The following is a 19414-nucleotide window of genomic DNA, read 5'->3' as shown; positions in this document are numbered from 1 at the left end:
CACTTGTATGTGTGATCGTGCACTTACGTGTGCCCACACCGTTCTCATGCACTCCTGCCGACCTGACTGTCCCACACATGCACCTCTCCAGGCATGCACACGGGCACATATGTGATCCGGACATTCAAACGCGCATATGTACACATTCACACATGCATGTATACAGTCGTGTCTGCATAAGCCCTCACATGTATACAGTCACACAAACACACACATTCATGAGTGCACACACACACTGACACCCATCAACAAACAAACAGATGCATCTTCAACAATATAGACTTCACCAGACTGTGAGTGTCTCCATGGGCTTATGAGCTCTGCAGGCAGGGATTATGGTTTCTTCTCTGAATTCCTGGTATACAGTAGGGTTCAAGAAAGTTTTGTAGAAGGGAATAAATAGAAAAGTGGTGAAATGGACTCATATCTGTGTACCCATCCATGTGCTAGGACCAAATTCATCTTGCCCTAGAAACCTTGCCAAGTCCAAATAATATGCCTCCCAACCCCAAAAGCATGCCACCCACCCCCATGCTTACCCCTTTCCTGTTCCCTCCATTTCTTCGTTCCCAGACATCAAGACCCTGGAGCACAGAGTTGATGGGGGTGTCTGCAAAGTCTATCCCAACACCCAAATCTTAACCATGTTTGGATTTCAGTTTCCTCCTGGAAAAAAAAAAAATCTCACTACCCTCCCCAGTTATGGAAACAAAAGGGAGATCAAGAGCGCTTGTGGGCCAGGCACATGCCTGTAATCCCAGCACTTTGGGAGGCCGAAGCGGGTGGATCACCTGAGGTCGAGAGTTCGAGACCAGCCTGGCCAACATAGTGAAACCTCATCTCTACTAAAAATACAAAAATTAGCTTCGCGTGGTGGCTCACGCCTGTAGTCCCAGCTACTTAGGAGGCTGAGACAGAAGAATCACTTGAACCCAGGAGGCGGAGGTTGCAGTGAGCGGAAATAGCGCCATTGCACTCCAGCCTGGGCCACAGAGCAAAAACTCCATCTCAAAAAACAAACAAACAAACAAACAAAAAACAGTGCTCATGAAGAGAGCACGCTAGCAGTCTGTAGGTGACTTCCAAGATCGGCTGAAGCTAATTCATTCATTCATGGGGGAAAAAAATATCTGTCCTGTGAATTTCTTTCCTGTGTAACCCACAAAGTCCAGGGGACAGCCCTGGCCTGGAAAGGACAGGTAGACATCATTGTGGTTTTCAGCATGAATGCTGGTGAGCCACCACCTTCATGGCTGGACATAAGAGGCCAGGCAAAGAGCACCTCTTCAGAAATCACTGAAGAGTCATTCCTTCCAGACAGGGACTGCTTCTAAGATGTCTCCTCCTCCCGCTGCTTTTCTAGACCTGCCTTCCTCTCAGCTGAATTCATAAAAGGCAGGAAGGAAGGGGCAACATTAGTACTAACAGCAGCGTTGAGCTGCTTATGACTAAGGGTATCGACAGTGTGGCATTAATTTAAATACTCCTGTTATTAATTTATGATCCCAGTTACTATTATTGCTAACGTTATCCATCTCAACACAATTTAATACGACCCACACTATGGCTGGGCCTGGGTTATTAATAATTTCCATGGTCCTGATCATTTAAGCCTTACTCAAACAATTACAAACAGCAATTGTTACTATTATTAGCGGTATTTCTATGATTAAACCCAAGCGCAAGACCACTACGTAATGCTGAGTGCTGGCGGGGAGAGTGGCTGCAAAGTGTGTAGAGGAAAGAGCATTGCACTGGGAGTGGGACAGGCCTGGGTATTATTCCTCCCTCCCTCTCTGCCATTGCTGACTCCTCAGGCAGTTTACATCATCTCTTTTGGTCTCAGTTTTCTCATCTATCAAATGGGAATTTTGAAAGGGCGGGGTGAGGATCAAATGAAGTAACGTGGTGTTCATCATAAGGAGGAACTCACTTCCCTTGCATTCATTCAACATGTATTTATTGAGCATCTGCTGTGTGCCACACACTGCTCTAGGCCTTGGGGATTCTGCAGGCCTTGGGGATTCATGCAGCTCCTTATGAAGCTGATGTTCTAGTGTGTTAGTTATTTGATATGAAGAGTTATTTTATTTTATTTATTTTATTTATTTTTTGAGTCAGAATCTCTCTCTATTATCAGGCTGGAGTGCAGTGGCACGATCTCGGCTCACTGCAACCTCCGTCTCCTTGGTTCAAGTGATTCTCCTGCCTCAGCCTCCCGAGTAACTAGGATTACAGGCATGTGCCACCACACCCAGCTAATTTTTGTATTTTTAATAGAGACAGGATTTCACCATGTTGGCCAGGATGGTCTCGATCTCCTGATCTCAGGTGATCCACCCGCCTCAGCCTCCCAAATTGCTGGGATTAGAGGCGTGAGCCACCGCGCCCAGCCATGAAGAGTTAGTTTATAATGTGAGGTCTTGGCTTGACTGACCATACCAGATAGCCTGGATATGATCAGGATATTCCTTTGCTGAGACTCCCACTATCACCATGACCAGAAGCATCTATACCAAAACTAGTACCACTATGACCATCATCATTATGACCACCACCAGTACCATCACCATCATCACCACCACTGCCACCATCACCACCACTTCTAACAACACCAGCACCATTATGACCATCATCATTATGCCACTGCCATCAGTGTCACTACCAGAATCACAACTATCACCACCATGACACGGCCACAGTTATCACCATCACTATGATCACCATAGTCACCACCACCACGGCTGCCATGGCCGTGGCTTCCAACACCTATCTTCCTACATCTGCACCACCACGAGCAACAGAGATTCTTCATGAGGGCAGGATGCACTGGCCCTTCCTTTTCCTAGGAACAATATCAGAGGCCTCATGGAGCCACTGCCTGCCTGAGTATAACCCTCTAGTGTCCACAACTCCTGGCCCCAGACATGAGCGGGCTCCAAAAGTTTCTCCCTGCTTGACAAGCCACACTGTCTTCCCAGCCCCCTCTCTCCTAATCCTCAGCACTTAGAGCCACAGCTGCAGGATATGGCATGGAGAGAGGGCTCGTAGGGGCTGACCAGCAGGTGGGATCCCACAGAGGGCACCAAGAGGCCAGCAGTGTTCCTGGAGAGTCCCTCAGAACCATCTCCTATAACAGAGTGCCCATAGAGAGGACTCCTCCCCCTACCCCCCACCCCCAAGCTTCCTGGTCCTATAGTGACTCTGAAGAGAAAGGGTGGAGAACATCAGTGCAATTCCACATGGAGCTGGGAGTGGCAGTCACGTCAAACTGCATCTTTAGGAATCAAATGGGAGGGGCAACTCCTCCCCTATATAGCTCACCACCCCACCGTCACCCTGCCCCTCCAGAAAGGCAACGTCCTTAATACACACTGTCCTCCCTGTCCTCCCATTCCACTCCACCCCCCTCATCTCAGCCCCTCAGCAAAGCACAACTCACAGCTCCCTGTGCCTCATGTCCCCAGCAGTTGCTGGGGAGCCAGCCTGCAGCTCCAGCCAACTTCCAAGCAGAAATGGGATCGCAGACAATGAGAACTCACACTTATTGGGACTGCTTGACCCCCTTAAACTCCACTACAATCCCATGAGGGAAGTACAGTACTGGGATCACCATCCTACAGAAGAAGAGACTGAGGCTTGAAGACGTTAAGCCACTTGTCCAAGGACCTCCAGAAGGAAGCAGTGGTACCGTAAGTGGCCACTGTTCTGCACCAGGCCCTCAACAGTCGCCTTCCCCGGTCGCTTCTCCCATCCATCCCAGCTCCTCCAGCCTTCACCCCAGCTAGACTGGCAGCCACCCCGTGGATTGGGGAGATAGAACTTCCATCTCAAAGAAGTGAACTCTGCCCTCCAGCTACTACTCAGACTCTCTCCTGACATGTATTTATAGAATTTAGCTTAGGGGGCAGGAGAGGAGGGGTGGAGGCCAGCCAGGGAAGTGACCTTCACCAGTTCTCACTTTTCCTGCTTTGGGGGAATCACTTCCCCTATTCTTCAATTCCAATGTCCAACCAGAGGAGGGGTGAAATGAGGTGGGCAAGGAGACAACCATCTCCAAGGCAGAGAGCCAGGGAGAGAGCGGAGGACGAGGTGGGGCCCTCCCCCAGCTGCATCCCATCTGCCCCGGGCAGGCGGCCAGGCAAGGTAAGTGAAACCTGCTGCCCCCCATTCAGAGCTTGCTTAGCGGCTTTGAAGCATGATGCAGTGATTACCTCTGAGCTGACTCCTGGGCTGCAAGGGGGTTCTGTCCAATGAGGGAACAGGGTGGGGCCTGGGGACTGGTCTGGGGTCAGCGAGTTTTGATTCTGGAGCTGAATTAGTAGTGAGAGGGGTGGGAGGAATTAGCAAGGTTGGAGTCCAGTTAGATTAACTTGAGCATCAAAGTGGGCCAGTTGCACAGTGCCCTCCCCCACCGTCTGCTCCAGCCTCAGAGGCTGGTGCGCCTCCACCCTATCCTGGAAGGAGCCCCATCTGACCCACATTCGTCAGCTTCTCCCACCTCCAAGCCCTTGCCTGTCTTCTCTTTTCCTTTGACATGACAGTAGAATGACGTCTGCAGTCGTCTTTCTTCCAGGCCACCCTCTCTCCCAACACTCCCCCGTGTGGCACCCATACCTTCTGTCAATGTCACAAGATCTGGTCACTTCATTCAAACATAGGTGCTGGGGACTTCATCTTCCCTAGGCTTTGTGTCTTGGAGAAGGGGTACCCAGAGTGGGCAATGCTAAACCCAAGTGCTTGAATGGGAAGGGCACAGAGAGTACCCCATACCCCAGGGCAGCCATCTCCCTGAGTCTAGGAGCCAGCCCCTTACCTCCGCCTTCTGGTCCTGCCTCTCTCCTCACCTCTACAGCACACAGTTCTCCTCCAGGAGCCTTCCTCTAGGAAGTTCCTCGCAACTCTCAACTTTGATTCTTCCCAGCCCTGAAGGACTGCGGAGCTGCCTGACAGTTCTGAAGCATCCAGTCATCTTTTTCACTTTTTGTTTTGCATCCAAGGACAGGCAGGATAGTTTTTTGTTTGTTTTGCTTGTTAGTTTGTTACTTTGTTTGTTTGTTTGGTTGGTTGGTTTGGGGTTTTTTTGAGACAGGGTCTTGCTCTGTTGCCCAGGTTGGAGGGCAGTGATGCGATCACAGCTCACTGCAGACTCAAACTCCCAGTCTCAAGTGATCCTCCCACTTCAGCCATCATGAGTAGCTGGGACTACAGGTGTGCACCACCAGACCAGGCTAATTATTATATTTTTTGTAAAGATGAGGTTATGCCATGTTCCCCAGGCTGGTCTCGAGCTCCTGGGCTCAAGCAATCCACCCATCTTGGCCTCCCAAAGTGCTAGGATTACAGGCATGAGCCATGGCACGGGCTAGGATGTTTTAAAGAGAAACTAAATAGGCTACACCATGGCTGGAACAGCGGGAAGTCAACAATGGGAAGATAGGAGGAAGAGGCATTGGGAGACACGGGCGCTAGTCTATCATTTATTTGCTGTGTGGCCTTGTGACAGTCCCTTTCTTGTTCTAGGCCTCCCTTTCCTCGTTTGTAAAGTGGGCATAAGATACTAGTCTCACCAAATTACTTTGAGGAGTCAAGGAAGTACTGTATTGAGTGTGAGTGTGCTTTGAAAGTCAGATGAGCTGAAGAGATGTCAATTAGTCTTACTCTGTTTGATGCTGCTGCTGATGGTGCCTGCGGGCTGGAGGCCGGATGAGGGGTGAGATGACATTTCAGCACTGGAGACTGAGGCCCGGGGTCCTTCCTGCTGTAGATAAGAGCCAGAGCTATGACAGGCCTCCAGCTCCAGCAAGATTCCCACGGGAATCGCTGGGGTAGGAGACGTCCCAGGCTTCAGCTTATCTTCACTTGGACTTGTCTGGGAAGTGGGGTCAAGTGCAATTGTCTGGGTTGGTTTCCAGCAGGGGAGGGCAAAGGGCATGGATGCACAGTTTGGACTAAGTCCCGCCTCCCCTTCAAGGGAAAACCCATCTGAGCGCTCAGGAAGGGGAGGAGGTGAAGGAGGATCATTTCCCAGTCCTGCCATTGCAAGGCCAGGTTGGCCGGGCCAGGGGACCCCTGAGACAGGGCTGGAAATTTAAAAGCAGAAGACTGAGTCACCAGCTCTTCCTGCACCAGCTCTTTCAGTACCACCAATGCCACTTGCCAAGTCAGTGCTTTCCTCCAAGGAAGGAGGAGAGAGAAATGCAGTCCTGCCCTGGAGGAAGCTCCAGTCTGAGGCCTGGAAGTCCCCCTGCTCTGAGGAGGGAGACACAGTCCTTAGGAGGACAGAGGTGGGTCTGGAACTCGGAGGAGAACCTCAGTGCAATACTCCTCTCCTAGGCTCTGGGGCTGGCAGGGGAGCAGGGAGGGGGAGATACACAGCCCATGGCTTTGGGGAGGGATGTCTAAGGAGTTCCCCAATCAAACAGGACCGTGTTGGGCCAGGTGCGGTGGCTCACGCCTGTAATCCCAATGCTTTGGGAGGCCGAGGCGGGTGGATCACAAGGTCAGGAGTTCGAGACCATCCTGGCTAACACAGTGAAACCCCATCTCTACTAAAAATACAAAAAATTAGCCGAGCTTGGTGGCAGGCACCTGTAGTCCCAGCTACTCGGGAGGCTGAGGCAGGATAATTGCTTGAACCTGGGAGGTGGAGGTTGCAGTGAGCCAAGATCGTGCTACTGCACTCCAGCCTGGGCAAGAGCAAGACTCTGTCTCAAGCAGCAGCAACAACAACAACAACAACAACACAACAACAACAAACAGGACCATGTTACACCTGGGGCAGGAACACAAGCATTCTCAATTACACATTCTAGGCTGGGAGTCGGATTTCAGAAGTGGAAAGTAGCCCAGAGGCCATCAACAGTAGGGGAAACTGAGGCCCAGAGACATGTGCCACATGTTCCAAGTCACTCAGTAAGGCAGTTGCAGAGAAGGGGATTATACAGCAGTTTCGGCAGGTGTGGTGAAGAAGGCCTGGGCTAGGCCCCTCAGCATTGCCCCAATTCTCTGTGTGTCTAGAAGCCACTCACAGTGCCCCTCCATACCTGTGTCCTCCGCCTGTGACAGAGAGGAACTGTCCTTCCCACATGGCCTCTGCTCCTGCTCCCTGGGGAGTCTGAGTCCCGGTTCTTGTCCAGCCCAGCCCAGCCTACAGGGTGCCCAGAAGAGGGGAGAGAGGCAGGGTGGGGGCACCTCCTGAAGGAGCCAGCAGGGGAAGTGCTGAGTCGGCACTCAGAGCCCTGGCCACCTCCGCTCCTGTTCCATTATTCATCCCTGCAGAGGTTCTCCCTCCTTGTTCCCGACCCAGGCCGGGTCTTGAGAAATGTCTTTGCCCCCGCCTTATATGCTCCCTCCACCTCAGCTGGAAACTCTTAAGCAAAAAGGTCGTCAAGATGATTAAATGCGAACAGATTTTCAGCTCTTTTTCCACTTTAATTAAAAATGTGCTCTCCTTTCAGAGGAAGCTGGAGACGGGATTGCAGCTCCCCAAAGGCCCCTGGGCTGAAAATCGAGGCAAAAACACTGAGAGGTGTCTGGGGGCTGGCCCATGGCGGCCTGAGGTCAGGGGCCTGGCCTGGAGCTGCCAGTGCCGCAGGCCCTGCCAGAGAGAGCAGCAGGGCCTGGAGGCTGGTGGGCACTGGGAACAGGGCAAGGACACAGGTGGAGGGTGGGATGGCTGGACCTGGAGTGGGGTGGGGTGGGGAACAGAGATACTTCATTTCCACACTACTGGGGAGCCCCAGGTCTGGGGAGGAGGGGGACCAAGTCACTGTCCTCAAGGAGGACTGCAGTCTGCCACAGAGAATTCAGGCTAGAATATGGATCAGCAACTCCCAGGCAACCTGGGGCAAGCCCAGGGGTGGCCCAGTGCCCCTCTGTCCAGAGCCCAGAGACTGAAGAATGCGGGCGCACAGCACACAGGAGGCAGCAGGATCAGTCTCTGCAGGCTTCCCTCAGGGGAGTTCGGATGCCAGTGGGCAGAGAGGTGAAGCTTACATCAATACAAAGATGGGGAGATTGGGAGCAGGCAGAAGCCACCAGGAGGAGGACTCTCCCCTTCTCCCCTCCCTCTTTCTATCACAGATCAAGAGGGAAGAGAGGAGAGGGGAGTGGCCAGGGAAGGGATTTAGATGAGACACCTGAGAACATCCGCAAGGGGAGGAGGGGAGGACGGGGGAGCCGGCACAGGCAGCAGGAACCAGCAGAGCCCACAGCCCTTGATCGAAGATGATCCCGTTTCCGGTCTGGCCCCAGCCCTTGGCAGGCCCGGGAGTGGAGCTTCCCTCCAAGAGCGTAAGGCAGGAGTGTTGCATTTGAAGTTCCTCTTCTCGTTCCCAACCCGCCTCTGCACTCCAGTGGGACAGGAGACTGCAGAAACTGCTGCTGGGGCCCAGAGGGAAAGGCCTCCCACCACTTCCTGTACCTGCGCTGGGGTGGTCCCCCTGCTCTGCACTCCGAGTGGGGAGTTGGTCCTTAACCCAGGAAGGAATGTGATCTCTGCCTGCCGAACCACCCTGGTGTTGGGGGCAGCCCACTGCCCAGCTCCCAGGCAAGAAAGCAGTTCCCCATCACTTCTAGGGAAGGGGCCAGACTCTAGTGGGACATCCAGGACCCTTCAGAATCCAGCCTCCGTATCTTTCCAGTCCTATCTTTACCACCAGCCCTCTCTGCCACCACTGAGAATCCCACTAAACAAAATGAGGGGGGCCCTGGAGGCGGGAAGCCACCGACTCAGCTGGGCTCAGAGGAGGCAACAGGAGAGTTGGCCTTGAACCATGGTAGACCCTCACAGGGGAGAGGGCAGGGCACTCTGGGCGGGCCAGGGGGTGCTGCTTGCGAAAGGGAGTGGTGTGGATGGAAATGCTGAGCTATCAGTTTGGTGGCAAGGTAGGGGATGGGGCAGCAAATGGATTGAGGGGAGCTGGCAAATTCTGAAGTCCCCTTTCCTGGTAGGTGGTGATCACTGCCTCTCTTTGAAATGCCCTTCCTGCCCACAGGCAGACAGCAGGCTGCAGGTCAAAACCTCCTGCTTCTCCGAGAAGCTCTCCCATTCTCCTCTCTCCTTTCAAACCTGGCAGCTGTCTGGCTGTCTCTGATTCCTGTCACCCTGGTTGGTCCAGCCTCGCTCCTCCTGGCTGCTTTGGTAGAATGAACATCTATGCCCAGAGCTTGGGTACAGCCTCTCCTGCTCTCCCAGTGCGGTGGGCTACACTGCACATCCCACCCGGACCAGCAGCTGGCACCTGCTTCTCCAGGAAGGCCATCTGGCCAGAAGAGGAGAGGAGCACTGGCCTGGTGCTATAGCGTTGGACCTCTGACAGCCTGAGTCCCCTACTGCAGCCCCTATGCCTTTGGCCTTCCCACCTACATTCTACTTTTAGAAAACCCAGGGCCTCGGCAGCAGAGAGTAGCCTATTTTGACAGAGTCCAAATGGAGCAAGTGGGGAGGGGCAGCGACGGGGCGGGAAGCGCGTCTCCGTTGGCGGGCACTGCTTTGCCCGGAACTCACTATTCTTTCCCAGTGTTAATTATCAAAATTAACCGAACACTATAAATAACCCAACTTGGAGACTTGAAGAGCCTCACTTCTAATTAATTCATTTCCAATCAAGGCACTTCTACGCCCCCCTACCCTAGAATCTGACGGATGGGAACCTCATTGTGCAGCTTCTTGAATATCGAATCCCACCGTCCCTCTCACTCCTGAGCTGTGAACGCTCAAAGAGAAAAGAGAGAGAGGAGGAAAAAACACTCTGCTTTCTTGGAAGGGGGTAGCCTATAAATAACCCCATATTGGTGCATTTGATGGACGACGTTTGTCTAGATTGGCTTTTGTTGGGATGAGGCGATAGAGAGGGTGGGGGTGGGGTGGTGGAGACTTCCATCTGCCGCCGCATTCACTGGGCAATAAATTTTAAAGCAAGACTGTGAGTACCATCCAAGGCCTTCGTGTTGGCTAGAGCTGGGGAGACTGATCGATAGAAGGGGAGGAGGGGTGGGGAGGGAGAAAAGAGAGAGAGAAAAAGAAAGAGAGAAAATGCAAGCTCTAGGATAAATGCAGGGAGGAGGAGAAAATGAGAAGGGGTGAGGAGAAAGAACCAGAGAAGGAGAAAGGAGGCAGAGAGAAGAAACAGAAGGACAGGAAGAGAAAAGAGGGATTGGAAGGAGGAGGAGGGAGGAGGATTTTTGTCCCCACCTTGCACCATGACCCTGGCCCGGAGACCCAGTGAGCAGCTCCTGTGCCGTCCCACCTCGAGTTCAGCTGCCTCATGCCCAGATTCTCCTGTCTCCTCTCCCGGGGCTGTTGGCATCCTTCAAGAGGTCATGTGGCCTGTGTGCCCCACCCCCATGCCCTCACAGCCCCCTGCAGGCAGGCCCTGGCTCCTGGCTCCCAGCCTTGGGGGAAAGGACACAGGTCAAGGGCACAGAATCCCCCCACCCCAGCCCCCGCCATGGGATTTGCTCAGCACCTTCCTGGGCCAAGTGACCTGTTTGACTGCACTTGAGGGAGGGAAGTAGGGGAACAGAGACAGAGTTAGAGCAGAAGAAAGGAGGGAGAGACAAGGAGAGAGAGAGAGAAAGAGGAACTGAGATGGAGAAGAAGAGAGAGGAAGGAGAGAAAGACAGAGACTGAGGCAGACATAGAGAAAGACAGAGGGATAAAGGACAGTGGAGAGCGATGGCTTGGGCTCACTGACTCTTGGTCCCTTGGTGTCCAGAGCACAGGGCCTCCTGGAGATCAGGCGACGGGGGCCAGTGCTCAGTGGGCTTCCTTGAGGGCTCTGACCTTGGGCAAGTGACTTCCCCTCTCTGAGCTTTGTCTTCTCCATCTGCAAAATGATGGTGACGTCAGCCCTTTCCTCCTCTTGAGGTGGTTGTGAAAATTAAATGAGGCTAAGTGGGTGCAAAACTCTTAACTAGGGTTCTGGCACAAAATGAATGCTCAATTTGAGATTGCTGTTGTTATTATTACTAGCAGTACTAGTAGTAGAAGTACTAATCCTAGAAGTGGTAGTAGTTTTGTCTTCCCCTTGTTGTGAGTGCTTCCAGGGGGTCAGCACTGTCACTTCTCCCAGCCAGGCAGACTGTTGCACCAGCCACCTCTCTCACCAAACGGGCTCCCCGAGGCCAGGGACATCCTGCATCCTAGGCCGGGGCTTTCTGGAGTGTGTCCCCTCCATCAGGTGGGGAAATCTTCTCAGCGGCGTAGCCCAGGTTTTCTTCTTCCTATGAGTGCCCCACCCCAGCCCTTCATGGCTAGAGGGTCCTGTGCATGGGGAGGCTAGTTCATCAATAACCGAGTGGCCACCTGTGGAGCCCAAGGCCTGGGGGCTGAGTAGCCAGCCGGCTTCTACACTCTCTCCCCATCTCTGACCACCTCGCATAGGATACAGTCCATCTGGTCCTCCTCCTCTAGCTTCAACTCCCTCAACTCCAGCTGAGATTAAGAGATGGACCACGTGGAGAGAGTGGCCCTTTCCCATCTACATCCTGTCCCCAGGCCTCTCCTTTCAGCATGCTGGGGAGGGGGCTGCTGGGAGGCAGCCCCCGGGCAATCTGATCTCCATTAGCCCCTTCTCTGGTTCTCATTACTGCAGCCAAGGCAGCTTCAGAAACTCTAATTTCCCTGGCGACTTTTCTCTCCTTCCTCTGCCTTTTGAGGTCCCTCTCCCATCCCAGTCCTCCTTGGAGGCCCCTCCTGCAGCGGGCCAGCAATGGGGTCACCCAAACTTTATGGGGGAACCTATGGTGTGACCCTCAATCTCAGCCCAACTCTGGATCTTAGGGGGCAGAAGGCTGCCTCCCCCCTCCCACTTCAAGCATACACCCCCACTGTCTGAGACAGGGCTGCTGACTGCTCCACTGGGTTCCAACAGAAGGTCCCTGTTGGGATCCACAGCACCCAGCCTGTGCCTGGCACTGAGGGAGGGAGGTTAGAATGAATGAGCTGCATGAACAGTCAAACAAACTAATGAATGAAGACATGGCAGCAGGGAGGGGAAGGAACTCAGCTGCAGAAAAAGCTGTAAGCCAATGACTCATCATTTCTCTTTCTCCAGCCTCACCACCTCACCATGTCCCTCTTTGGGACTGTCTTACTCCCTTCTACTCATCCCAGCACAGGCATCACCTCCTCCAGGAAGTCCTCCATTTCATTACAGCCTGGGTGACTGATGCGGACCTCAGGCACCTTGTACTTCTCTGCCTGTCACCAGCACTCTGTGGTGTGGCTGGTGCTTTCCTTCCCTCTCCATCCACCCGGGCGCTGAGCTCCTTGGGGAGGGGAGTGATTGCCTCTTTTATCTGAGTGTCCTCTTTGCCTAGAGCAAGCCTGCATAGCAGATACTCAATTGCTGTGGGTGAATGAATGTATGATAAAGGAGTGAAGGAAGGAACAGATAACCAACAACAGCTTAAACAGCCACTGGTAGAGGATCAGGGACATAAAAGAAAGCCCCTCCATGGACTTTAGCCATTAAAAGCTGTGATTGGGAGGCAAGGTGCAGCACAGGGAGAGTATCAGGTAGAAAGAAGTGAAACCGCAGCTCTAGGTAAACTCCTTGCATCATGTGCTCAAAGACCAGAAGAGGACCAGGTGCGGTGGCTCACACCTGTAATCCCAGCACTTTGGGAGGCCAAGGCGGTTGGATCACGAGGTCAGGAGATCGAGACAATCCTGGCCAACATGGTGAAACCCTGTCTCTTCTAAAAATGCAAAAATTAGCTGGGTGTGGTGGTGGGCGCCTGTAGTCCCAGCTACTTGGGCGGCTAAGGCAGGAGAATCACTTGAACCAGGGAGGCGGAGGTTGCAGTGAGCCAAGATCGCGCCATTGCACTCCAGCCTGGTGACAGAGCAAGACTCTGTCTCAAAAAAAAAAAAAAAAAAGAAACAGAAGGGAGCAATTGTATGTGTTTTTTCCTCTTAAAAAAACCCCTCTGTTAATGTCACATTGCTAAGTTTACACTTCACAAGTGACATTTTAAGGCCTTGCTGATGCCAGTGAGGGCAGGGAGGAATTCCCAGATGAACAGGAGAGACTGCGGGCAGGGGGCTGCTATCATCCCGTTCTCAAGTCTCTGGCTCTTTACTGCTTCCAGCCCCTCCCCTGGCACTGGACAGTGGCCTGGCCCAGCCCAGATCTACTGGGGAAGGGAGAGAACTCCCTGCTTGCAGGGAAGGTCAGCTGCAGAACCCAAACAGCCTTGATTAAGTGTCTAAATGGACAGGCCTGGGCAGTGCCAAGATGGAGTGTGGCAAACATTGTCCCTGCCCTCTGGGGCTTCCAGGATGATCCAGACACACAGATGGGGGCAGACACGAATGGACAGCTGGGGTTGAGAATAAAACAGAATTGAAATCAGACTCTGTGTGTATACACATGCATAAGGGGACCCTTGCTCTTTTCTCTACCTGGTGAACTCCTATTCACCCTTCCAGGCCCAATTCACTTATCCAATCATTCATGTATTCATTTGTCATGGACATCTGTTTCTCAGCACCACTTTGCCTTTTTGTTTATGGGAAACTTCCTCTTCCCAACTCTTTTATGGAGAGAAGTTTACTTTCACTCCACCTTCACCCCTCTGCCCACTCTGGGTGTGGCCATGTGAGCAAAGCGGGGCAAATTTGCATACAATAACCCCAGCCATCAGATTGGTTCAGGGATAGGAACATCACTATCTCCACTGAGAGTCAGCCCTGAACTTTCTTTCGGGCTGCATGGAAAGAAGTGCTTTCTTTGTGCTGGGGTTGCCACTCCCTGGGAGAGCTTGATTGAGAATAAAGCTGATATATGGAAAAAGCAGAGCCAAGAGATGGTCAGTGGCGACATTTAACACCTGCACCTAGCTTTAACCGGACCTCAACCCTAACCCTACTGCAGTAAACTTAAGTTATGTTGAGCCATAAAGTCTCTTCTTTTTTTCTTAGGCAGGTTTGAGATGGACTTCTGTTATTGACAACCCAGAGGTTCCTGACTAACGCATCATTCATTTGTCAAACACTGTGCTCCTGCTCTATGCCAGACTACACAGGATGGTGGAATCCGAGGATGACTGCGACACAGCTCCTGCCTTCAAGGAGCTTGGAGTCTCCTAAGCCTTGTCCAAATGCTGCTCCTCTGTGACTACTTGGCCAGCTCCCACAGACAGTGAGCCCCCTTCTCCCCTCTGCTTCCCAGCACTAGGTTCACACTATTCATTCAATGAATATTGCCAGGAGTGGTGGCTTATGCCTGTAATTCCAAGACTTTGGGAGACTGAGGCAAGTGGATCACTTGTGGCCAGGAGTTTGAGACCAGCCTGAGCAACACAGGGAGACCCCACTTCTACAAAGAAATAAAAACATTAGGTGATGTGGTGTTCACACCTGTAATCTCAGCTACTCAGGAGGCTGAGGCAGGAGGATCCCTTGAACCCAGGAGGTTGAAGCTGCAGGGAGCTATGGTTGCACCACCAGCCTGGGCGAGAGTGAAGTTCATTGGTTACCTACTTCAGGCCAGGCTCCATGTTCCTCCTATTGTAGAATTGTCCCAGACTGTGTCTGCCTCTGCCTCTTAGACTGTATGTTCTTGGATAATGGGCACCATGCTGGTGAATCCCCAGTGCCTAAGGCTGCGCCTAACGTGTGCTAATTGCTTGTGTTTATTGAATGAATGAAAGAATGTGGATTTCTGTGTGTGTTTATGTGTGTTGGGATGAGGGAGTGGACAACCAAAGAGAAGGACAATATGACATAGCACCCATAGCAGAGGAGAGGGTCCTGGAAGTTTCTAGATCCAGCCAGGGCTCAGCCAGAAAAGCCAGCACACGGCTCTGATCAATTGAATAAGAGCAGATGTCTCCCTGCAGATAGATGCCTTCCCCACATTTGCAACACAGGCGTCCCTGTCTCAGCACCAGTCCTGAAGAGCTGTCTCTGGAAGTTTTTCCCTTCTCCAAACCCCACCCATAGTGTCCCGCCTGGCCACTACATGGATTCGTGTGAGGGCTCAATGTAGCCTCTCCCTCTCAGGCTGACGGGGCCCATTCTTCACACACAGCACTCGCTCACCAACATGGGCTGGGGCCTCCTCAGAGCCGTGGAGGCAGGGAGTCACGGACTGACAGCCGGGCCTCAGGTGAGCCAAAACGCCCCGCCCTTCCCCTGGCTCTCCTGCCACTTTAGAAATCAGCACCAAACTCCTGCGATGACTTAGTCTTTGCAGACTGAGCTCTTGACTGGGAGTTAAGATGACCTGAGTTCTGATTGCAACCCTGCCACTGTCTGAGGGTAACCTTGGAAACATCACTACCCGCTCCTTGAGCCTCGGGTCCCCATCCGAAAACTGAGTAGCAGCACCAAATCCCACACCATTCCTGGGAGATATGAGGGCAGAGTGACCCTCCCTATCTTACAGATGCAGGCTGGAAGGGACGGAGACAGCTGGCTCTAGCCTCTCTGCACAGATTCTGCAGCACCCAAAGCCTCACCTTCTGATCATCCTGACCTGGGGGTGCCACCTCGGAGGAAACTGGTCCATAGTTGATCGTCCAGCTCTCCCACCTACAGAGGACATTCTTTTCTCTCCCTCTGGCAGCAATCCCCCAAGCTAATTCTCCTAGTAACACCCTGTCTTCCACTGTCCCCAGTCCTCTGAGTGTGGCTGGGCACCAGTGGTCTGGGTCTCCTCCCCGATAGAGACCATCCTCTCTGGGCAGCAAGGCCCCACTGCTATCTGCAGGGTTTCCTCCCTCCTCCCTGCCTTCTCCGCCTTCTCCACCTTCTCCTGTCTCCCTGTCTCTGCCTTTCTCTCCTCTCTTTTATTCTTCCTTGAGCCCTCTTCCTTTGCATTTCCTCTTGACTCTCCCCTTAGTCTGTCTTTAGCTGCTTCTTTCCATCCCATCCTCTTTCTCTCTGATTCCTTCTCCAGACACCCTTCCTTCTTGGTTCTCTTCATTGTGCTCCTCTCCTCCTTTTTCTTTCCCTTTCTCTCTTCCCATCCCTCCTCCACTCCTCTCCCTTCTCCTCATCTGTTTCTCCAGCTCTCCCATCCTCCCACTGGGTCCATCCTCCCAGTCCTGTCTGCAGCTGGGTAAATTTCTATAAACAATTAAGTTTGTAATAAATTCAATTGTATTACATCCTTATTAGAAGCTTATAGCATTTGGGAAGAGGGATTTGGGCAGCTAAGAGGCTGATATCCTCTCTGAGGATATCAGAGAGGCTGAGTGCCTGGAAGTGGAGTGCTCCCATTTTCAAATTAACTTGAGCTCCACATATTTCATTATCTCCCCACATTTCCCCATGTCAAATGATCCCAAACATCTCTCTTTCCTTCCTCTCTGCCTGAGCATTTCTCCTCCTCTCCCTTCCTCCAGTCCCAGGGGACAGACTGTTGCAGCAGGAAGGTAGCAAGTTCTATAGCAAGAAGGACTTCCCAGTAGATGGTGCATTAAAAGAATCCTTGGCTAGAAGGAGGGGAAGTGGGGGAGGTGAGAGAGTCTCCATCAGTGGAGACCTGGGGTCGTGGGTGGGAGAAGGGGAGGCCAGCCTCAGCCCCAAACCTGGGGATGTGTGACCCACTGGGCAGCTCACATGAGTCTCCAAGCCCAAGACTCTGGATGGGGAATAGGAGAAAACAGCTGCAGACATCTGGAAGAGGCTTGCCCGGTTCCATTAGCCTAGGCACCAGCCAGGCCGTGCTTTTGATGTTTGATCTTGCCCTCAGCACAGGGAGAAAGCCAATGAGATGTCAAGGACTACTCATAGAGACACCCCCTGCCACCAGCCAGGCTCCCCTCCCAGTTCCCCTGACAGCCCAAGCCAATTTCCAAGGCATAAATGAAATGCCAGAAAACAAAATACTGACCCCCCACCCCCATCCCCACAACAGTGGAGCCAAAGCCAATTCCCCTTGGGTGGCGGTGGAGTGATAGAACCTCCTGCCTGCCTGCACCCTCCCAATGCCTTTCTTGTCTGTCCCAGACCCTAGGAGAGAGGCTGAGTGCCAGACCACAGTCGTGCCTCATTTTGGTTCTTTTTGCAGAGGGCAGGTAATGGGTGGAGATTTTTTTTAGAGGGGAAGGGAGTGAATCCTGAAGACCTATTTGAACGAGGAAATGTTTATGGATAGCAAAGAGAAGCAGCAAACTATGATTAAGTAAGACTGGAATGTATAGCAGGGAAAGTAAAACTAATCTGCATGTATTGAGTGCCTGCTGCATGCATACAGACAGAGGTCAATAAGATGGTCCACTGGGGGAGGTAGCTGTATAAGCTGACACAAGTAGGATAATGAAGACAGCAAAGGCACCCATGCAGAAGATGGAAGGCATCAATTCTGCCAGGAGAAGTGGAGGGCTTCATGGAGGCAGTGACACTTGAGCTGGCGTGAGAAGGATGAATAAGGGCAAGCCAGGCAAAGAAGAAAGGGAAGAGCTTCTGAGCAGTGGAGGTGGCATGAACAAAGACTTGGGGTGCTTTGGGGAGCATTAAAGTAACCCCTGGACTTCAGCAGAGGGTGTGTGTGTGTGTGTGTGTGTGTGTGTGTGTGTGTGTGGTGGAGGAAAGGCAGTGTTGAGAAGAACTCATATATACTAACCCTTCACATTTATACAGCACTTTGCAACCTGTAAGGTGATTTTCTTTTCCCTTTTTTTTTTTTTTTTAGATGGAGTTTCACTCTTGTTGCCCAGGCTGGAGTGCAATGGCATGACCTCTGCTCACTGCAACCTCTGCCTCCTGGGTTCAAGCGATTCTTGTGCCTCAGCCTCCTGAGTAGCTGGGACTACAGGCACATACCACCACACCCTGCTAATTTTTGTATTTTTAGTAGAGATGGGGTTTCACCATGTTGGTCAGGCTGGTCATGAGCTCCTGACCTCAATTGATACACCCGCCTCAGCCTCCAACAGTGCTGGAATTACAGGCATGAGCCACTGCGCCTGGCCTGTAGGTGCTTTTCAAAGTCACAGTCTCATTGAGCCCTTACCACAAGCCATGGGAGGCAGGATTTAGATGCCCCTTGTAGGAATAAGGAAACTGAGGCTCAGAGAATTCAAGTGACTGACCCCAAATCACACAGCTGCTGCCAGGCTGCCTCTGAATTGAGCAACCCCCTTTCAGAGTTTCTGACCCTTGTGGAGCCTTGAAACTGAGGCAGGTGGGGTGGGGCAGGGTGGCAAGACTGATGCACTGGGGGCCCCAGCCTAGACCCAGGGACAGAGAAGGAGACATGAGAATGAAGCAGGCAGCCCAGGCAGGCTTCCTGGCAGAGGGAGCCATAGAGTTTGGTTGGGGTGCAGAGGAGGGGGGCAGGCAGGGCATAGCTGGCATGAAATTTAGTGAAGGGGTTGGTTAGGGGACAGGGAGAGCTCATCTGGCACAAGGAAGATGCCAGAATTGTGAGTTGGATCAAACCGGTCCAAAGTGGGACGAGCTGGGGACAAAATGAGAGAAGGATGTGAAGGCAGCCCTCAGGGAGACATCAGCCAGTGGGCAGGGGTGGTGCCTATGGGAGGTGGTGTGGGGCAGTGGTTAAGAGTAGACTGTGGAGGGAAAGGAGCTGATTTCAAGTCCTGGCTCCACAGCTTTCTAGCACAAACCACCTCAGAGGAGGAGTGAGAATTTTTTTTTTTTTTGAGACAGGGTCTGATATGGTTTCACTCTGTGTCCCCATCCAAATCTCAAGTTGAATTGTAATTTCCAGTGTTGGAGGTGGGGCCTGGGGCCTGGTAGGAGGTGACTGGATCATGGGGGTGGTTTCTAATGGTTTAGCACCATACTCCTAGTGCTGTCTCGTAATAGAGTTCTCCCGAGATCTGCTTGTTTAAAAAAGTATAGCACCTCCCCACCTCTCTCTCTCTCCTGCTGCCATGTGAAGATGTGCTTGCTGCTCGTTTGCCTTCCACCATGATTGTAAGTTTCCTTAGGCTTCCCCAGCCATGCCTCCTGTACAGCTGGTGGAACTGTGAGTCAATTTATCCTCTGTTATTCATAAATTACCCAGTCTCAGGTAGTTCTTTATAGCAATGTGAGAATGGACTAATACAGGGTCTCACTCTGTTGCCCAGTGCCATGATCACAGATCACTGCAGCCTTGACCTCCCAGGCTCAAGTGATCCTCTCACCTCAGCCTTCTGATTAGCTGGTACTACAGGCACATGCCACCATATCTGGCTAATTTTTTTGTATTTCTTGTAGAGATGGGCTTTTGCCCTGTGGCCCAGGCTGGTCTCGAACTTCTGAGCTCAAGCAATCCTCCTGCCTTGGCCTCCCAAAGTGCTGAAATTACAAGTGTGCGCCACTGCACCTAACCAGTAGTGAGAATTAATAGGCTAATGCTTAGCACCTTCTGGCACATGGCATGTGTGTTCATTATGTGGCATCCCTTAAGAAGATAAGGGTGGAAACGGAGTTTTGGGGAAAAAA

General features: G+C 52.3%; 1 annotated feature.

The window, feature by feature from the left end:
• Window positions 7656-8361: an enhancer, noted in NCBI's record as "H3K27ac-H3K4me1 hESC enhancer chr17:47563643-47564348 (GRCh37/hg19 assembly coordinates)". NCBI's record gives its function as "activates a minimal SCP1, AML or CMV promoter by ChIP-STARR-seq in primed H9 embryonic stem cells {active_cell/tissue: H9 hESC(primed)}" and the evidence as "EXISTENCE:reporter gene assay evidence [ECO:0000049][PMID:30033119]".

The sequence above is a fragment of the Homo sapiens genome, chromosome 17 (assembly GCF_000001405.40).
Source record: "Homo sapiens chromosome 17, GRCh38.p14 Primary Assembly".
NCBI lineage: Eukaryota > Metazoa > Chordata > Mammalia > Primates > Hominidae > Homo > Homo sapiens.
This window is presented reverse-complemented; position numbering and strand designations above follow the sequence as displayed.